The 15,386-nt window shown below is 34.6% G+C and overlaps 1 annotated feature.

Moving 5' to 3' along the window:
• Positions 408-909: an enhancer, noted in NCBI's record as "NANOG hESC enhancer chr3:103513381-103513882 (GRCh37/hg19 assembly coordinates)". NCBI's record gives its function as "activates a minimal SCP1, AML or CMV promoter by ChIP-STARR-seq in primed H9 embryonic stem cells {active_cell/tissue: H9 hESC(primed)}" and the evidence as "EXISTENCE:reporter gene assay evidence [ECO:0000049][PMID:30033119]".

Consider the following 15,386-nt stretch of genomic DNA (forward strand, 5'->3'; position numbering starts at 1 on the left):
AACTGTTTGAGAACCCATGTTTTCACATCCCCCTCACTCCTTCCTAAAAAATTATGTTTACCATTTCCATCTGTGTTTACCAAGTTTGAAAATGGTATAACTTTTCTGTATAATTAAATGCATACTTTAGATTGTGAAATGCATAATTATAACATGAAATATGTATGTACTGTGGAGTAATGTGCATGCATCATTTACTACATAGTGAAGCAGATACACTTTTAATTAAACTCTATGATGTACAATATATGACCAGAAGAATTATGCTTTGAATAGCCAATTCTATAAAGAGCCACAAAGTGTATTATATACATGACTATGAATCATTCATCAAACACCCCCTAAAGGAGAATGAAAGCAAGAGATGCTTGATATAATTTTCTTTTTGTTCTAAGTAATGCAACAGTTGTGCATTCCTCTAAGGATAAAGTAAACTATTGCTAATACATAAGAAAGCAGGAGCGATCTAGCTCTTCATCTGCTGACTAACATACTGTTCCTGGCAATACAGAATAAAAGCATAGTAAATGGAAGAAACATAATTCTTAGTCATAGATTTAGGTATCAGAAAGAGTTTCATTTGGAGAATGCAGGACATCTGCTGTTGATGCCTTATGGACCAGTTTTGTAGTCATTTCCAGGTGGGATTCAAGATGCTTTCGACCCAGGGGGCTATAGATGTTTAGGGAAGCAATTCTCACACTGTGGAATGCATACGAATTATGCAGATTCTACTTCATTATGGGGGACTCTGTTTGGAATGTTATCAAGCCACTAGGTGGCTCAGTTGTAACTGACACAGTAGGTCAGGAACTACATGCCCGGGTTTAGACCATCTTTACACATTAAGTTAATAATGCAGCAAGCAGAATGGGAATGGGAATGCACAATGGCTCTCACATTCTTTATATTCCTTTCTGTTTATAGAATATCTCACAATCTGTTAGGGAAAATTGGGGTTCTCTATTTCACTGTGGAAAACCCTTGTCAATATATGTCTCATTGGAACTCTATTTAAGAAATACAGTGATATTCAGTTCTTGGTCAGTATGCTCTCAATATCTGCTGAGTTATGAAATTCTGGACAGAATACCAGCTGTCTGGCAATGCAGTGTTTTTCATGGATAACTTTCCTTTGAGATTATTTATTTCCATTTCTCATTTGACCAAATCCTAACCTTCAGCTACACATGAGCTTAAGGGTATCTGACAGATATCCCCTTCTGAGAAGAGAAGCTTTACTATTTGCTTGCCTGGCTTTATTGTACATAATGTGCAAATAAAATAATTTAAAAGTAAATAAGAGGTGAAAATATGCATTTTGAGAAATGAATGTTTGCTTTTCATTTTAACAACAAATCTTAAAATTCCAACTGTGAAGTAGCTCATAAAATCAAGAGATACATTATTACATAATTTTTAAAGAAAATAATGGAGTAAAAATATCCAAGATTTCAAGTTATTGTTATTGATACCATAGAGCAATTTTTTAGGACAGACAGAAAGAATCATGACATTTTCATTAATGAATGCTTCCAGTATTATATTATTATGTTCAAAACGCAGTGGCTAACAAATTAAGGTAGCAAAATTTTATAACCACTGTTATGGAAGAAAGTTTGGGGCAATCATATAACATTTCTAAAACAATTATAAAATTCATTAGTCAAATTTCCATATTTATAAATTTTGATCTTCAATGTATTGTTATGAATATATTTTAAACTTTGAAGATGACCTGGAGATGTTTTTCTTTTCTCTTAGATTTAGAAGAATAATGCTTTATAGGAATCAATTCTGAACTCTTGATTTCCAGCTAATTAACCAATCTCCTAGAACTGAGACGTGAAAAAGCCCTGCCAACCAGAAGAGTCTCTTATAGTGGTCAAAGGGAAAATGGCAGCAAATAACCTGTATGTGTTTGTGTGTGTATACTATGTGTATGTCTATACCTTATATATACACACACTAGATATATACACACTGCATATGTACACACTTCATACATTATACGTGTGTGTGTGTGTGTGTGTGTGTGTGTTTTCTTTCTGCTTTTTCTAACATAAGAGAGCTTTAAAAAGTTTTATTAGGGGGCAGGGGTCAACTATCAACTTGCTCTTTCAAAATACCCTCATATTTTATGAGAAACAAAGCACTACTTCAAAGATTATATCCCACTGAGCTTTGAATTATAAGCACATAAAGTCTTCTATTTCTAGCAGCTAGTTCAGTTCTAGACATAAAGTGGCTAAAGTGGCTGTAATTAAATGCAAGAGAAAGAGAGAAAGAGAAGGAGGAGAAGGAGAAGGTCGAGGAGAAGTGGGGCGAAGTGGAGAAAGAGAACTATGGTTGAAAATAAGAGGGATAAAAAATGGGGATGTGGCATAAAAATCTCAGGTAATCTATCAGATGGCATTATAGGATTTAAAACTTTTGGTTCTCCTATCACAAATATTTGAATTCAATCCAGTGTTTTCCATTTATTCTTTAATAATTAGTTTAACTTTTGTATGTCTCAGTCACTTAAAAATAATTACAGAGACTTTCTCATAGAATGGTGAGCGGATTGAGTGAGAAAATGATTGTAAAGCAACCAGCAAAGGAGTATGGTGCTGTATTTTTATACAGTACTAAAGCAATTGTAGCCTGTTAATATTTTTGTTATTTTATAATCTCTCATGTAGACCGTTGTAAAATAATATGGAGCCTGAAATTGAAGTAAAAATGTAAAGAAAACCAACAATAACTTTCCAAATGTGAAACCATTTTTCTTACCCTTAGCCCAAGTTCTCCAAGGTTAATCTAATTGGTAATATATTTGTGATTTCCTTATTTCTACTATTGTTCTATCTAATTGATTTGGATGGCCTTTTATGTCAACATTCTCAGGCATTACAATGTGAAAATTTAAGACTAATTCTCATTTTTAATAAAACTTTTATTTTCAAGTTATTTAAACTTACATTCAGTTATAAAAAAAATACAGAAACATGTGTACACTTTTCCCAGTTTCCCCTGATTGTAACATCTGCAATTCTATAGCACAATATCACAACCAAGGTATTAGTATTGATAAGGCAGTCACAGAACATTTCTATCATCACAAGTATTGGTCATGTCGCCCTTTTGTACCCACTCCCATGCCTCTTCCACCCCCACCTCCTCCTTATAAACCGTCAACCACTAATCTGTTCTAGTTTGTATACGTTTGTCATTTTAAGAATACTATATAAATGAAGTTACACATCATGTAACCATTTGGGGTTGGCTTTATTCACTCCGTCTACTTTTCTGGAGATTCATCCTGGTGGGTGAATACATATCAGTACTCCATTCTTTCTTTATTGCTAATTGCTACTCAAGGATATCCATGCACCACTTTTTTCTTGTTGTTGCTTAACCATGTACCCACTAAAGAACAAATATGATTTTTCCAGCTTTTGGCTATTATGGATAAATTTCCTAAAAATATCTGTGTATACGTCTTTATGTGAACAAAACATTTAATTTATCTGGGATAAATTACCAGGAGTGCAAATGTCTAAATTATGTGGTAAGTGTGTTGATGAAGAAAAGCCAAATTTTAAAATACTCAAAGAGGTTTATTCTGAGCTAAATGTTAGTGACACTGCCTCAGGAGGTCCCAAGAACATGTGCCCAAGGTGGTTGGGTTGCAGCTTGTTTGCATACATTTTAGGGAGACAGAATTACAGGCAAAGACATAAATCAATACACATAAGTTATACATCAACCTGTTCTGGTAAGGAGGGACATCTCAAAGTGTAGTAAAGAGATGTTTTCCAGGTCACAGGTGGATTCAAAGAGTTTCTGACTGGCAATTGGTTGAAAGATTAAGCTTTGCCTGAAGAGATGAAGTCATAATAAAGAAATGCATGAGTTAAGATAAGGGGGATTGTGGAAGCCAAGAATCTTCGTACGTAGATGAAGCCTCTAAATAACAGGCTTCAAAAAGAATAGATGGTAAATGTCTCCTATCAGACTTTAAAAGATTTCAAACTCTGTGTTAAATCTCTACTGGATCAAGAAAAGAAGGTTCTCTACAAAATGCAAATTTGCTTCACAAGAGACCGCTTTGGATGCCTATTCCAAAATATGTCAAATACATATATTTGGAGTAAAATGCTTTGATTTCCTTTATGGCCGGTTATCTATTATGTGATACTGTACCAGAGTCATGTTGGAATTTGGTATCTTTTTGCTACAAAGATTGTGTTTTGTCAGTCTTATCATTTCTATTTTAATGGTAATGCTGGTCAGTAGTGCCTAAACTTCAAACACAGAAGGGTATGAGAAGGCACATCTGACCTCCCTTCCCAAAATGGCCTGAAGTAGTTTTTCAGGTTGTCTTTGGGATCCTCTTGGCTAAGAGGGGGGAATCTATTCAGTCAGTTGGGACATTCTAATTTTACTTTTTATTTTCAGGTGCATCTTAAGACTTTTTAAAGAAACCATTTAACTCTTTTCTAAAGTGGCAATACAATTTTACATTACCATCACCTATGTTTGAGTGATCCAGTTTCTCTATATCCTCACTAGCATTTAGTGTTGTCAGTAATTTTAATTTAGTCATTTGTATAGGTGTGTAGCAATATATTTTTGGGTTTTTATTTCTACTTTCTTTGGGTTTTTATTTTTAGTTTCTTAACGGTTAATGATGTTAAAGGTAATTTCATGTACTCATGTGGCATCTGCACAGCTTCAGTGAAATATCTCTTCATGTATTTTGCTTATTTTCTATTGGATTTTGTTTTTATTTACTGTTAAAATTTTAGCACATTATTTAATCTGAATGTAGAACTTTATTGGACATGCAGTTTACAATTATTTTCTCCTGGTTTGTAACTTGTCTTTCCATTCTCTTCACATGATCTTTCATAGAGCAAAAGTTGATGATATAAAGACCATTTTTTTTATTTCTATGGGTTGTGCTATTGTTGTCAAGTCTAAGAACATGTTGCCTCCACTTAGATACTGACAATATTCACCTACATTTTTTTCTAAAAGTTTATGGTTTTGTATTTTACATTTAAGTCACTGATGCATGTTAAGGGTTTTTTTTTTTTCTTGTTTGTTTTTGTTGTTTGCATAAGGTATGAAATAGGCTGAAGTTTGTTTTCTGTTTATTTAGTCTATGGACATCGAATTGTTCTAATACCGCTTTTTGAAAAGGTAGTTTTTCCTTTATTAAATTGCGTTTGCATATTTGTCAAAAATTAGCAGAGCCAATTTGAAAATATGGAATCCATGAAAATGAAGTGAGTTTCTTGTAAAGGCGTATATGCCATTATATGCTATGTTTTTTAATCTACTCTGTCAATCTCTGACCTTTACATGGTATAGCTAGTCCATTGATATTTAATGTAACATATCAATTGCATTAAATCATATATCCATTACATTAAATTACATTTAATGCAAATAATATATTAAGGATTAAGCCTACCTTTTTATTTTTAATGTTTTTATTTTTGGCCTTCCTGGGTGGGTTCAAACCACTATTTAATTTTTTTTTATATTTGTTATATTTTTCATTGTCTTTATTTTTCATGTTTTTTTGTGGGTTAATTGAACCTTTTTTAAAATTCCATTTGGATGTGTATATTTTGTTTTCACATATATTTCTTCATATTGTCTTTTCATTGTATGATCTAAGTATTACTACATATATATATATATATTCCATACTATAATCTACTGTTGTCTCCATCTTACCAGATCAAATGAAGTAGAGAACCCTTATCTCCCTTTGCATTCTTTTTTATTATTTCTGCTTATAATGTAATTATCTTAAATACTTCTTCTATGAACATTTAGAATTATATCAGATAATATTACAATCTTTGTTTCAGCCATCAAACAATTTAGAGAGTTCAATAGGAGAAACACCTATTATTTTTCCCATTTTTTATCTTGTCTTATTTCTGTTTCTTCAGGCTTCAATTTTTTTTGTATTATTTCTCTTCCGTTTATATTTTTCAACCATTCTTTTGTGGTAAGTCTTCTCACAAGATATTTTGTTGGTTTTCTTTCATTTGAGAATATCTTCATTTCCCCTTCATTCCTAAAGCATAGTTTTGTCAAATATAGAATTCATGGTTGAAATATTTTTCTTTTCATTAATTTTCTTTTCATTAATTGAAAAATATTGTGTCATTTCCTTCTGGTTTCTTTTATTTCTGATAAGAAATAGCTTTCATTTGAATTTTTCCCCTTATAGATGTCTCCCCCTCATTGGCTGCTTTCAATATTTTTTTCTGTATTTAATTTTCAGAAGTTCAATTATGATACGTCTTATCATGGATTGCCTTGTATTTTTCCTATTTGGGTTTTGTTCACCTTCTTGAATCTGTAGATTATGGCTTTCACTAATTATATAAAGTCTTCAGCTATTATTTCAAATAGCTTTTTATTTCTGCCTTCTTTATTCTATCCTTCGGTGAACCCAGTGAAAGAAATGTTAAATTGTTGCTCTAGCCCCACAGATCCCTGAGGTTCTGATCATGTTTTTGGAGATTTATGTTTGTTTGTTTGTTGTCATTATTATTTAACCTACTTTATCTCTATTGTTCATGTGGGTAATTTCTATTGTCTTGGTTTTTAGTTCACTAATCTTTTACTCAGCCCTACCAATTTTGTCACTGAGCACATCAACTGAGTTTATGTATTAGTTATTTCATTTTTCATTTAAAAATTTTGGTCTGATTCTTTTTCATATATTATCTTAGCGTGTTGAGAATTTATATTTCTTTGCTTCATCTATTATTTATTATTTATTTCTTCTATATGCTTACTTATGTATTGCAACATTTTTGTCATGATTGAAAATACTTGTCAGATGACTCTAGATAACTCTAATATTTCTGACATTTCAGTGTTATCTATTTTTTTAAAATTCAGTTCAAGGTCTTTTTGATTCTTGGTATGATGTGTAATTTTTGTTTGAAAACAGGGCAGTTTCATATCATATTATGAGACACTGAATCTATGTAAGCCTTCTCTTTTTGCTGGATTTCTCTGACACCACTCCATCATGGAAGGGGTGAGTTGCCTTGCTACTGTCAGGTGGAAGTAGAAGTTTATGTTTCCTAGTCAGGATTTATTGACACCTGTAGAAAGGACTTCTCATTTTTGGGTGGGGATGGGAGTTCCAGATTACCACATGTTCTACACTGACATTGTAATGAGGGTGACCTCAATATACCTGGGTGATAATTAAAATATTGACTCTTCACTAGGTGACCACTGAGGCCAGCTAAGCTGAGACAGAGAGATATGTCATTCCTGTACAGTCAGGTTGGAAGTCCAGTATCTCAGTGTTATTTCCACTGACACCATTGGTAGGAGGTGTAGCTTCATAAACTGTCAGTGGGGTTGACTATCCCAGTGTATTATCTATTCTTCTCTGACACTAACTTAGCAGAGATTTTGGGATGCTTCATAACAGCCTCAGGAAGGTAAAAAGTTTCTCCACTTAACCTTAACTAATATGGATGGTGGTGAGGCCATAGTTTTTGTTTGTTTGTTTGTTTGGTTTTTTCCTGTGGTCTTTGATTGGAATTGAGTAGGTATTGTCTAGAAGTTTTCTGTCTTGCTGGGCTATCACTTTCTTGGTCACTGGCTAGAGAGATGTGGCTTCCCTTATTTTGTTTTTTTGTTGTTGTTATTGTTGTTGTTGTTGCTTTTTTAAAACTTGTTTTATAGTCTCTATTGGCATTTCTAGGTTACTCCTTCTTCAGCTCCAAGTCTAGAATATGTAAGGCAAAAAGAAAACACAGAAAGCTCACCATTGTGTTATTCCTTACATCTCAAGTTTTTTAGGCAGTCATTTTCTTTATCTTTCATAAGCTTCTTAAGTTGTTTTGTATGTGTAATACCCAAATATTTTGGCCATACATTGTAGACAGAATAGGAAAATAAACATCTACTCTATTTTCCTGAGAGATACAAAGCAAATTCATTGTTAAGCATAATACCAAACTTTACCATATAACAGAAAATAATATATAACCATTAGAAATCAGATTAGAAATTCTTTCTGTAATCTCATGAAATTTCAAACTGATTAGAATAAAATGGAATTGAATCAATTCAAAATAGACTAAAGAATTAAACATAAGACCTGAAGTTGTAAAACTGCTAGAAAGAAACATAAGAGAAAAGCCCCATGATACTGGTCTTGGCAAAGCTTTTTTGCATATAATCCCAGAAGCACAATCAACAAAAGCTCAAATAGAGAAACGAAATTACATCAAACTAAGAATTTTCTGCACAGCCAAGGGAAGAAGCAGCAGAGTGAAGAGGCAACCTATAGAATGAGAGAAAATGTTTCCTAGCCAAATATCAGATAAGGAGCTAATGTCCAAAATACATAAAGAACACAATTCAATAAAAAGAAAATAGGTAACCAGATTTTAAAGCGGTAAAATGACCTGTTTGGATATTTATCAAAAGAAGACTAACAGACGGCCACAGTTATATGATAAGCAGTTGAACACCACTAATCATCAGGAACACGCAAATTAAAACCACAATAAAATATCACCTCACACTTGTTAAAATGGATATTATCAAAAGGATGAACTATAACAAGTGGTAGAAAAGATGTCAAGACAAGAGAAACCCTTGTACACTGTCGGTATAAATGTAAGTAACTGTAGCCATTATGAAAAAGAGTATGGAGGTTCCTCCAAAAATTAAAAATGGATCCACTGTATCATCCAGCAATCCCTCTTCTGGATATACATAAAAAGGATATGAAATAAGTATATCAAAGAGATATTTGCACTCCCAAGTTAATTACAGTATTATTTAGAATAACCAAGATATAGAATCAACCTGTGTCCATCAAGAGATGAATGGATAAAGAAAATGTGTTGTAGATGCCCAAGAGAATATAATTCAACCTTAAAACAGAAGAAAATCCTATAATTTCTGACAATATGGATGAACCTGAAGGGCATTTTAAGTAAAATATGCCAGGCACAGAAAGAGCAATATCACATGATCCCACTTACATATGGAATCTACAGAAGTGGAACTCATAGAAACAGAGTGTAAAACGGTGCTTTCCAAAGACCAGGGAATGAGGGTATTGTGAAAAAAATGGTCAAAATTTTAGTTAAACAGAGGAATAAGTTTGAGAAATCTATCATTATGTCATGGTGACTACAATAAATAACAATATGTTGTATACTTCAAAATTGCTAAGAGAGTACATTTTAAGTTTTCTCACCACAAAAAATGTAAGGTAATGCATATATTAAATAACTCACTTTAGCTATTACACAATAAATATATCAAAATATTATATTTTACACCAAAAACAGACACAATTATGACTTGTCAATTAAAACATAAATTTAAATAATTGAGAGTATTTGAAACAGAAGATGATAAAGTTAAAACACTTAGAAAAAGGGTTAAGAAATAATTGTATTGACAGTATATAAAACATTGTGATAACTTATCTCTGTGAGTTACATCCAGTACAAAATTTTGCTTGACTTTTAGTAGAAGGCATGGTATTTAATCAAAAATAGGAAGAGAGAGAGAGAGACAGAAAGAGAGAAAGAAAAAGGAAGGAAGGAAAGGAGGGAGGGAGGGGAGGGAGGGAGGGAAAGAAAAAGAAAGAAGAAAGAGAGGAAGAAAGGAAGGAAAGAAGGAAGGAAAGAAGCAAAGAAGGAAGGAAGGGAGAGAAGAGAAAGAAAAGGAAAGAGAAAGAAAGAAAGAAATGAAAGAAAGAAGGAAAGAAAGAAAGAAAGGAAATAGAAAGAGAAAAAGAATAAGAAAAAGAAAGAAAAGGAAGAGAAAAAAGAAAGAAGCCAGAAAAATTTTCCTACAAGACTATCTTCAGTCAGATACCTTCAAAACTTCCAAGTGGACATGATAGAGAGAGAATGAGACCTCTACATATCGGTTTTGAAATACAATTATTCTCTTAAATTATGTTTCTGTGACTCATCTAAGGAATACAATTTAAGAAAGTATATATAAGAAGGTTGGTTTCATTTTTAAAGCATGACAATATAAATTATGCCCTAAAATGAGTTACAAGTTACTAGCTATAATTCACAAAAGGTTAGGCAAATGAGGCAATTTTTAGTAACTTGGAAAAGTTACTAAAGTTACTAGCTCTCTAGCTAGTACAGAGGTGACACTGGGCGTTAGATTCATCCCAACTAATTCAGAGCAATTTGCTCTTACTCCATGCAGTGCTCTGATGTAGATTTCAAGGACTTTAGGAAGGAAAAGCGGACACTTCAGTTTTTTTGGACAAGGAAGGGAGGAAGGAGGACAAGTAAATTATAAATCAGATACAGGCTCAACAAGATTAAAACATAAATGCTGACCACAGTTAGTTTTTATTTACAAATGTATTTTAATGTTATACAAAATTAAATGCTTAGAAAAATGTATAACTAATATAGAAAACACCCATAATCCTACCACCCATATTTAAAAAGTTTATTTCAGAAATAAATATTAAAAATACTTCTAAGGAACACTCTAATCTTTCCACATTCCAAACATTCTCCTAAATTTTTTATATGTACTTCTTGTTATGCTTTTTCTTTCTTATGCCTGAATCTATTAACTATATATGGTATTATCTTATGAGTTTTTAAGTTTTAGATTTTCTGTAACATATATATTACTGCATATATTATTCTGAAGTATGTTTTCCCCCAAATTAAGTTTTTGAGGTTCATTTATGTTGACATGCATAGCTCTAAGTCATTCTCTTTAGCTACACTGTAGTTTTCAATTATATGATTATACCACTATTCATCTGTTCTACTAATTGATGAATGTTTGGCTTGTTCTTTATTAAAAATTTTATGTCACAATAAATTAATATTCTTGTATAGATCTTTCTTTTTAACATGAAGAAAAGGCTCTCTTGAGTATATATGGAAAGAGAATTACTGAGCATAGAGTACATAGACTTTAACTCTTGTTGATATTTCCAAATTAAGTTCTAAAGCACTGTAACAATTCACTTTTATCAGTAAGTTTTGAGAGTTCTTGCTGATCATGATCAAAAATAATCGGCATCATGTTATTAAAAATGTATGTAAAATATTCTAATATTGTTTTAAAAATTAATATTGTTGATTATTACAATATTTTGTACAACATCTACAAAGTTTTTGAATGTTATATTTTTAGAGAATGTGAAGCATTCACATCTTCTGACTTAAGTTCCCATATTTAGCCTACTTTTCTATTAGTCTTCATTTTGACTTATAAATCTTATTTATTTATTGTAATTATCTATACTAAGTTAGCCGTATGAATTGTAGTTCTCTTCCCCCAAGTTGTTAATGTTCTTACATTTTATTTGCTTAAATATTTTTCTAGTCCAATGCCATATGTGTTCTTTTATACATTTTCCGTAAATAATTTTATTTCTGTTTTGAAATAATTGAAAATACAGAAACATTAATGAAAAATTTCAGAGAACTCACAAGCCCTTAGCCCAGATGCATTTGTTGATCTCTCTTTCTCTCTCTCTCTCATACATAGTCACACACACATATATGCATACTTTAAAACCTTCTGATCCCTTTTAGGTTAGGTTTCATTAATATATATTGTACACTTTTAGGCTAAACTCCTCTCCAAATTTTTATTATTTTGCGTTATGACCAACAATATATAAGAGTGACTTGTCAACACAGTCTTACCAACAGAAATGACTGTCAAGCTTTTGAACCTTATGAGTGAGAAATGATATTTCAATACCGTCTTTTTAAAGTTGTTTTAAAATTTCAACTTTTATTTTAGATTCAGGGGGTACATGTGCACATTTGCTGTATGGGTATATCGCATGATGCTGAGATTTGGGATATGAATGTTCCCATCACCCACATAGTAAGCATAGTACCCAACAGTTAGTTTCTCAGTCCTTGTCCTCCTCCGACCCTCCTCAGTCTTGTAATCCTCAGGGTATATTCTTGCCATCATTATGTTCATGTGTGTCCAAAGTTTATCTCTTATTTGCAAGTGACAACATGCTGAATTCGGTTTTCTGTTCCTGCATTAATTTGCTTAGGTAATGACCTGCAGCTTCATCATTGCTGCTGCAAAGGCCATGCCTGCATTGCTTTTTTTGGCTGTGTAATATTCCATGGTATATATGTACCACATTTTCTTTGTCCAGTCCACTCTTGATAGGCAACTAGGTTGTTTTCATGTTTTTGACATTGTGAGTAGTACTGAAATGAACAGAAGAGTGCATGTGTCTTTTTGGTATAATATTTTTAAAATATATACCCAGTAATGAGATTGCCAAGTTGAACGATAGCTCTATTTTTAGTTCCTTGAGAAATCCCCAAACTTCTCCCCATAGTGTCTGAACTAATTTACATTTCCACCATTAGTGTAAAAGCATTCTCTTTATTCTGCAGCTTCCCCAAATTCAACTGTTTTTTGTCTTTTTAGTAAGAGCCACTCTGGTGTAAGATGGTATCTAATTGTGGTTTTGATTTGCACTTATCTGATGGTTAGTGATGTTCAGCATTTTGTATATGTCTGTTGGCTGCTTGTATGTCTTCTTCTCAGAAATGTCTGTTTATGTCTTTTATCCATTTTTAATTGAGTTTTTTGTCAATATTTCGGGTTTTTTTCAATTGTTTTTGAATACTTACTTAGTTATAAGCTCTTCCCCATAACCAATTGATACCCATTATGGTTTTTCCTAGTTTTTTCTCTGGATTCTTACACTTTAGGTATTTCATTTAAATCTTTAATCTATAATGAGTTATTTTTTGTATGTGTATATGATGAAAGGTAGAAGTCGAGTTTCATCCTTCTGCATATAGCTAGCCAGCTAACCCAGCAGCATTTATTGAAAAAAAATTAGCCCGGCGTGGTGGTGGGCACCTGTAGTCCCAGCTACTCAGGAGGCTGAGGAAGGAGAATGGTGTGAAGACAGGAGGCAGAGCTTGCAGTGAGCTGAGATCGCGCCACTGCACTCCAGCCTAGATGACAGTGAGACTCAGTCTCAAAAAAAAAAAAAAATGAAAAGAAAAGAAAATCCTTTCCTCATGGCTTATTTTTGTCAACTTTGTCAAAGATGAGATAGCCATTGGGGTATGTCTTTATTTCCGTGTTCTCTGTTCTGTTCCATTAGCTTACGTTTCTACTTTTGCACCAATACTATGCTGTTTTAGTTTCTGTAGCCTTATAATATAGTTCAAAATCAGGCAATGTGATGCCTCTGGCTTTGTTCTCTTTGCTTACAATTTATTTGGCTATTTGGGCTCATTTTTTCTTCCATATGAATTTTAGAACAGTTTTTTTTTTTAATTCTGTAAAAAATGCCATTGTTAGTTTGATAGAAATAGTGTTGAAGCTGTAGATTGGTTTGGGCAGTATGGCTGTTTTAATAATATTGATTCTTTCAATCCATGAGCATGCAATGTTTTTCCATATTTTTGTGTCATCTATGATTTCTTTCAGCAGCGTTTTGTAGCTCTTATAGAAATATGTCACCTCTTCTGTTACATATATAGCTCCTTGGTTAGGTATTTGTGTGTGTGTGTGTGTGTGTGTGTGTCTTGAAAATAGCATTGCGTTCCTGATTTGGCTCTCAGCCTGAACGTTTTTGGTGTATGGAAGTGCTACAGGGGGGTTTTGGCAAGATGGCAACTAAGTGCAGACAAGTAGAACAGCTCTCAAGAAGAAACTGAGATGACTGTCATGCTTTCAACAGATCTTCAGAGGGAAAGTGGTGAGAGTGGAAAGAGGGAGAACACAGAAGCTGGGCTGAAGGGAGAGAAAGCTGGGAACACATTATGGGGCTATCGCACACCATGACTCATTTTGGACCACAACAACTCCAGGGTAACAGGTGAGTTGAACTGGCAAGAAGCAACCCATTCTCACCACAGGCCTCTGGAACCCCAGCAGGAGGGAACTCCTCAACCACCACAGATACTCAAGGTGGCAGGGAGAGCTGCTTAGGAAGTGGTAAGGGCGGCAAGCCAACTGAGGTGGGCCCCAGAAGGTTTAGAGAGGGAGCATCGGTAGTGAAGCATGGCTAGAGGGATGGCTCAACTTGATCCCATAAGAGAGCCCTAGGGAATCTGTCGAGCCTGACCTCTGCAGAGTGGTTTACATCATCAGACTAGGCTTGTCCAACCTGAGCACCCCTTGATCTGCTGGCCCCAGCCTAGCCATATCTACTTGCAGGGCACTCTTGGGTGTCCTGGGGCCTGCACCATAGCTTCTCTGCCAGTGAACTTCACCTTACTGGTGGAGAGCTCTAACAAGGCAGCCCCTATGGCCACACATCATCCCATATGTTCCCTTCCCATACTGCAGCTTCTCCAAGGCCCACAGCAGCTCCCCATATTGCTATAGTGGTGCTTGTCTGCACAGGCAGGTTTTGCTTTACTTGTCCCTCCAGCATGTGGGAGTGAAGTCTGCTCCCCTTCCCCTGCCAAGCCCCATTGCAGAGGGATCCTTGGAGGACACAGAGCCAGCAAGCCCCACCCCTGCAAGCACCTCACCCTTCTACTAACACTGCCCAGAAAACAGCAGATCCTTTCACACCCTGAGCGATTACTTCTGCTTTCTGGAAACAGAGATGGCACTCAGCCCTGTGTCTGCCAGCACTCTGCCCCCAAGTCAACAACACCTCCAAAGCAACCACTCACATAGTCTCCAGCAATAGACCCCTGCCCCCTCCAGCTGTGTTGCCTCCACCACTGTGGTGAGTGCCCTCAGAAAGGGAGGTACTCTGGCATCCAGTATCACATTGCTGCAGCTGCTGCACCTCAGGCCCCCCAGTGCAGTGGATAACAAACCACAAGGAGCCAGAGACTAAAGCCGGGGCCCAGTACAAGTCCCCCAGAATTATAGTATGCAGTCCAGGAGTTGGGAGCTGAGTTTGACCCACTAAAATCTCCCAGAAATGAAGCTGGTTGGCTAAATCCACCTTACACCACAGTCAAACACTCAAGATCATCAAATAGGATTTAAAAAAAAACAAAACCATCCAAAGATCAGCCGCCTCAAAGATTGAAGGCAGATAAGCCCACGAAGATGAGAAAGATTCAATGCAAGAACACTGAAAACTCAAAAGGTCAGTGTTCCTTCTTTCCTCCAAATGACCACAACACCTCTCCAGCAAGGGTTCTGAACCAGGCTGAGATGGCTGAAATGACAGAAATATTATTCAGAATCTGAATAGAAATGAAAATCATTGAGCTAAGGAAGTACCTTGAAACCCAATTCATGGAAGCTGAAAATCACAATAAAACAATGCAGGAGTTGACAGATGAAATAGCCAGTATAGAAAAGAATGTAACCAACCTGACATAGCTGAAAAATCACCCCAGAAGACTTTCATAATGCAA

The sequence above is a fragment of the Homo sapiens genome, chromosome 3 (genome assembly GCF_000001405.40).
Source record: "Homo sapiens chromosome 3, GRCh38.p14 Primary Assembly".
Classification (NCBI taxonomy): Eukaryota; Metazoa; Chordata; class Mammalia; order Primates; family Hominidae; genus Homo; species Homo sapiens.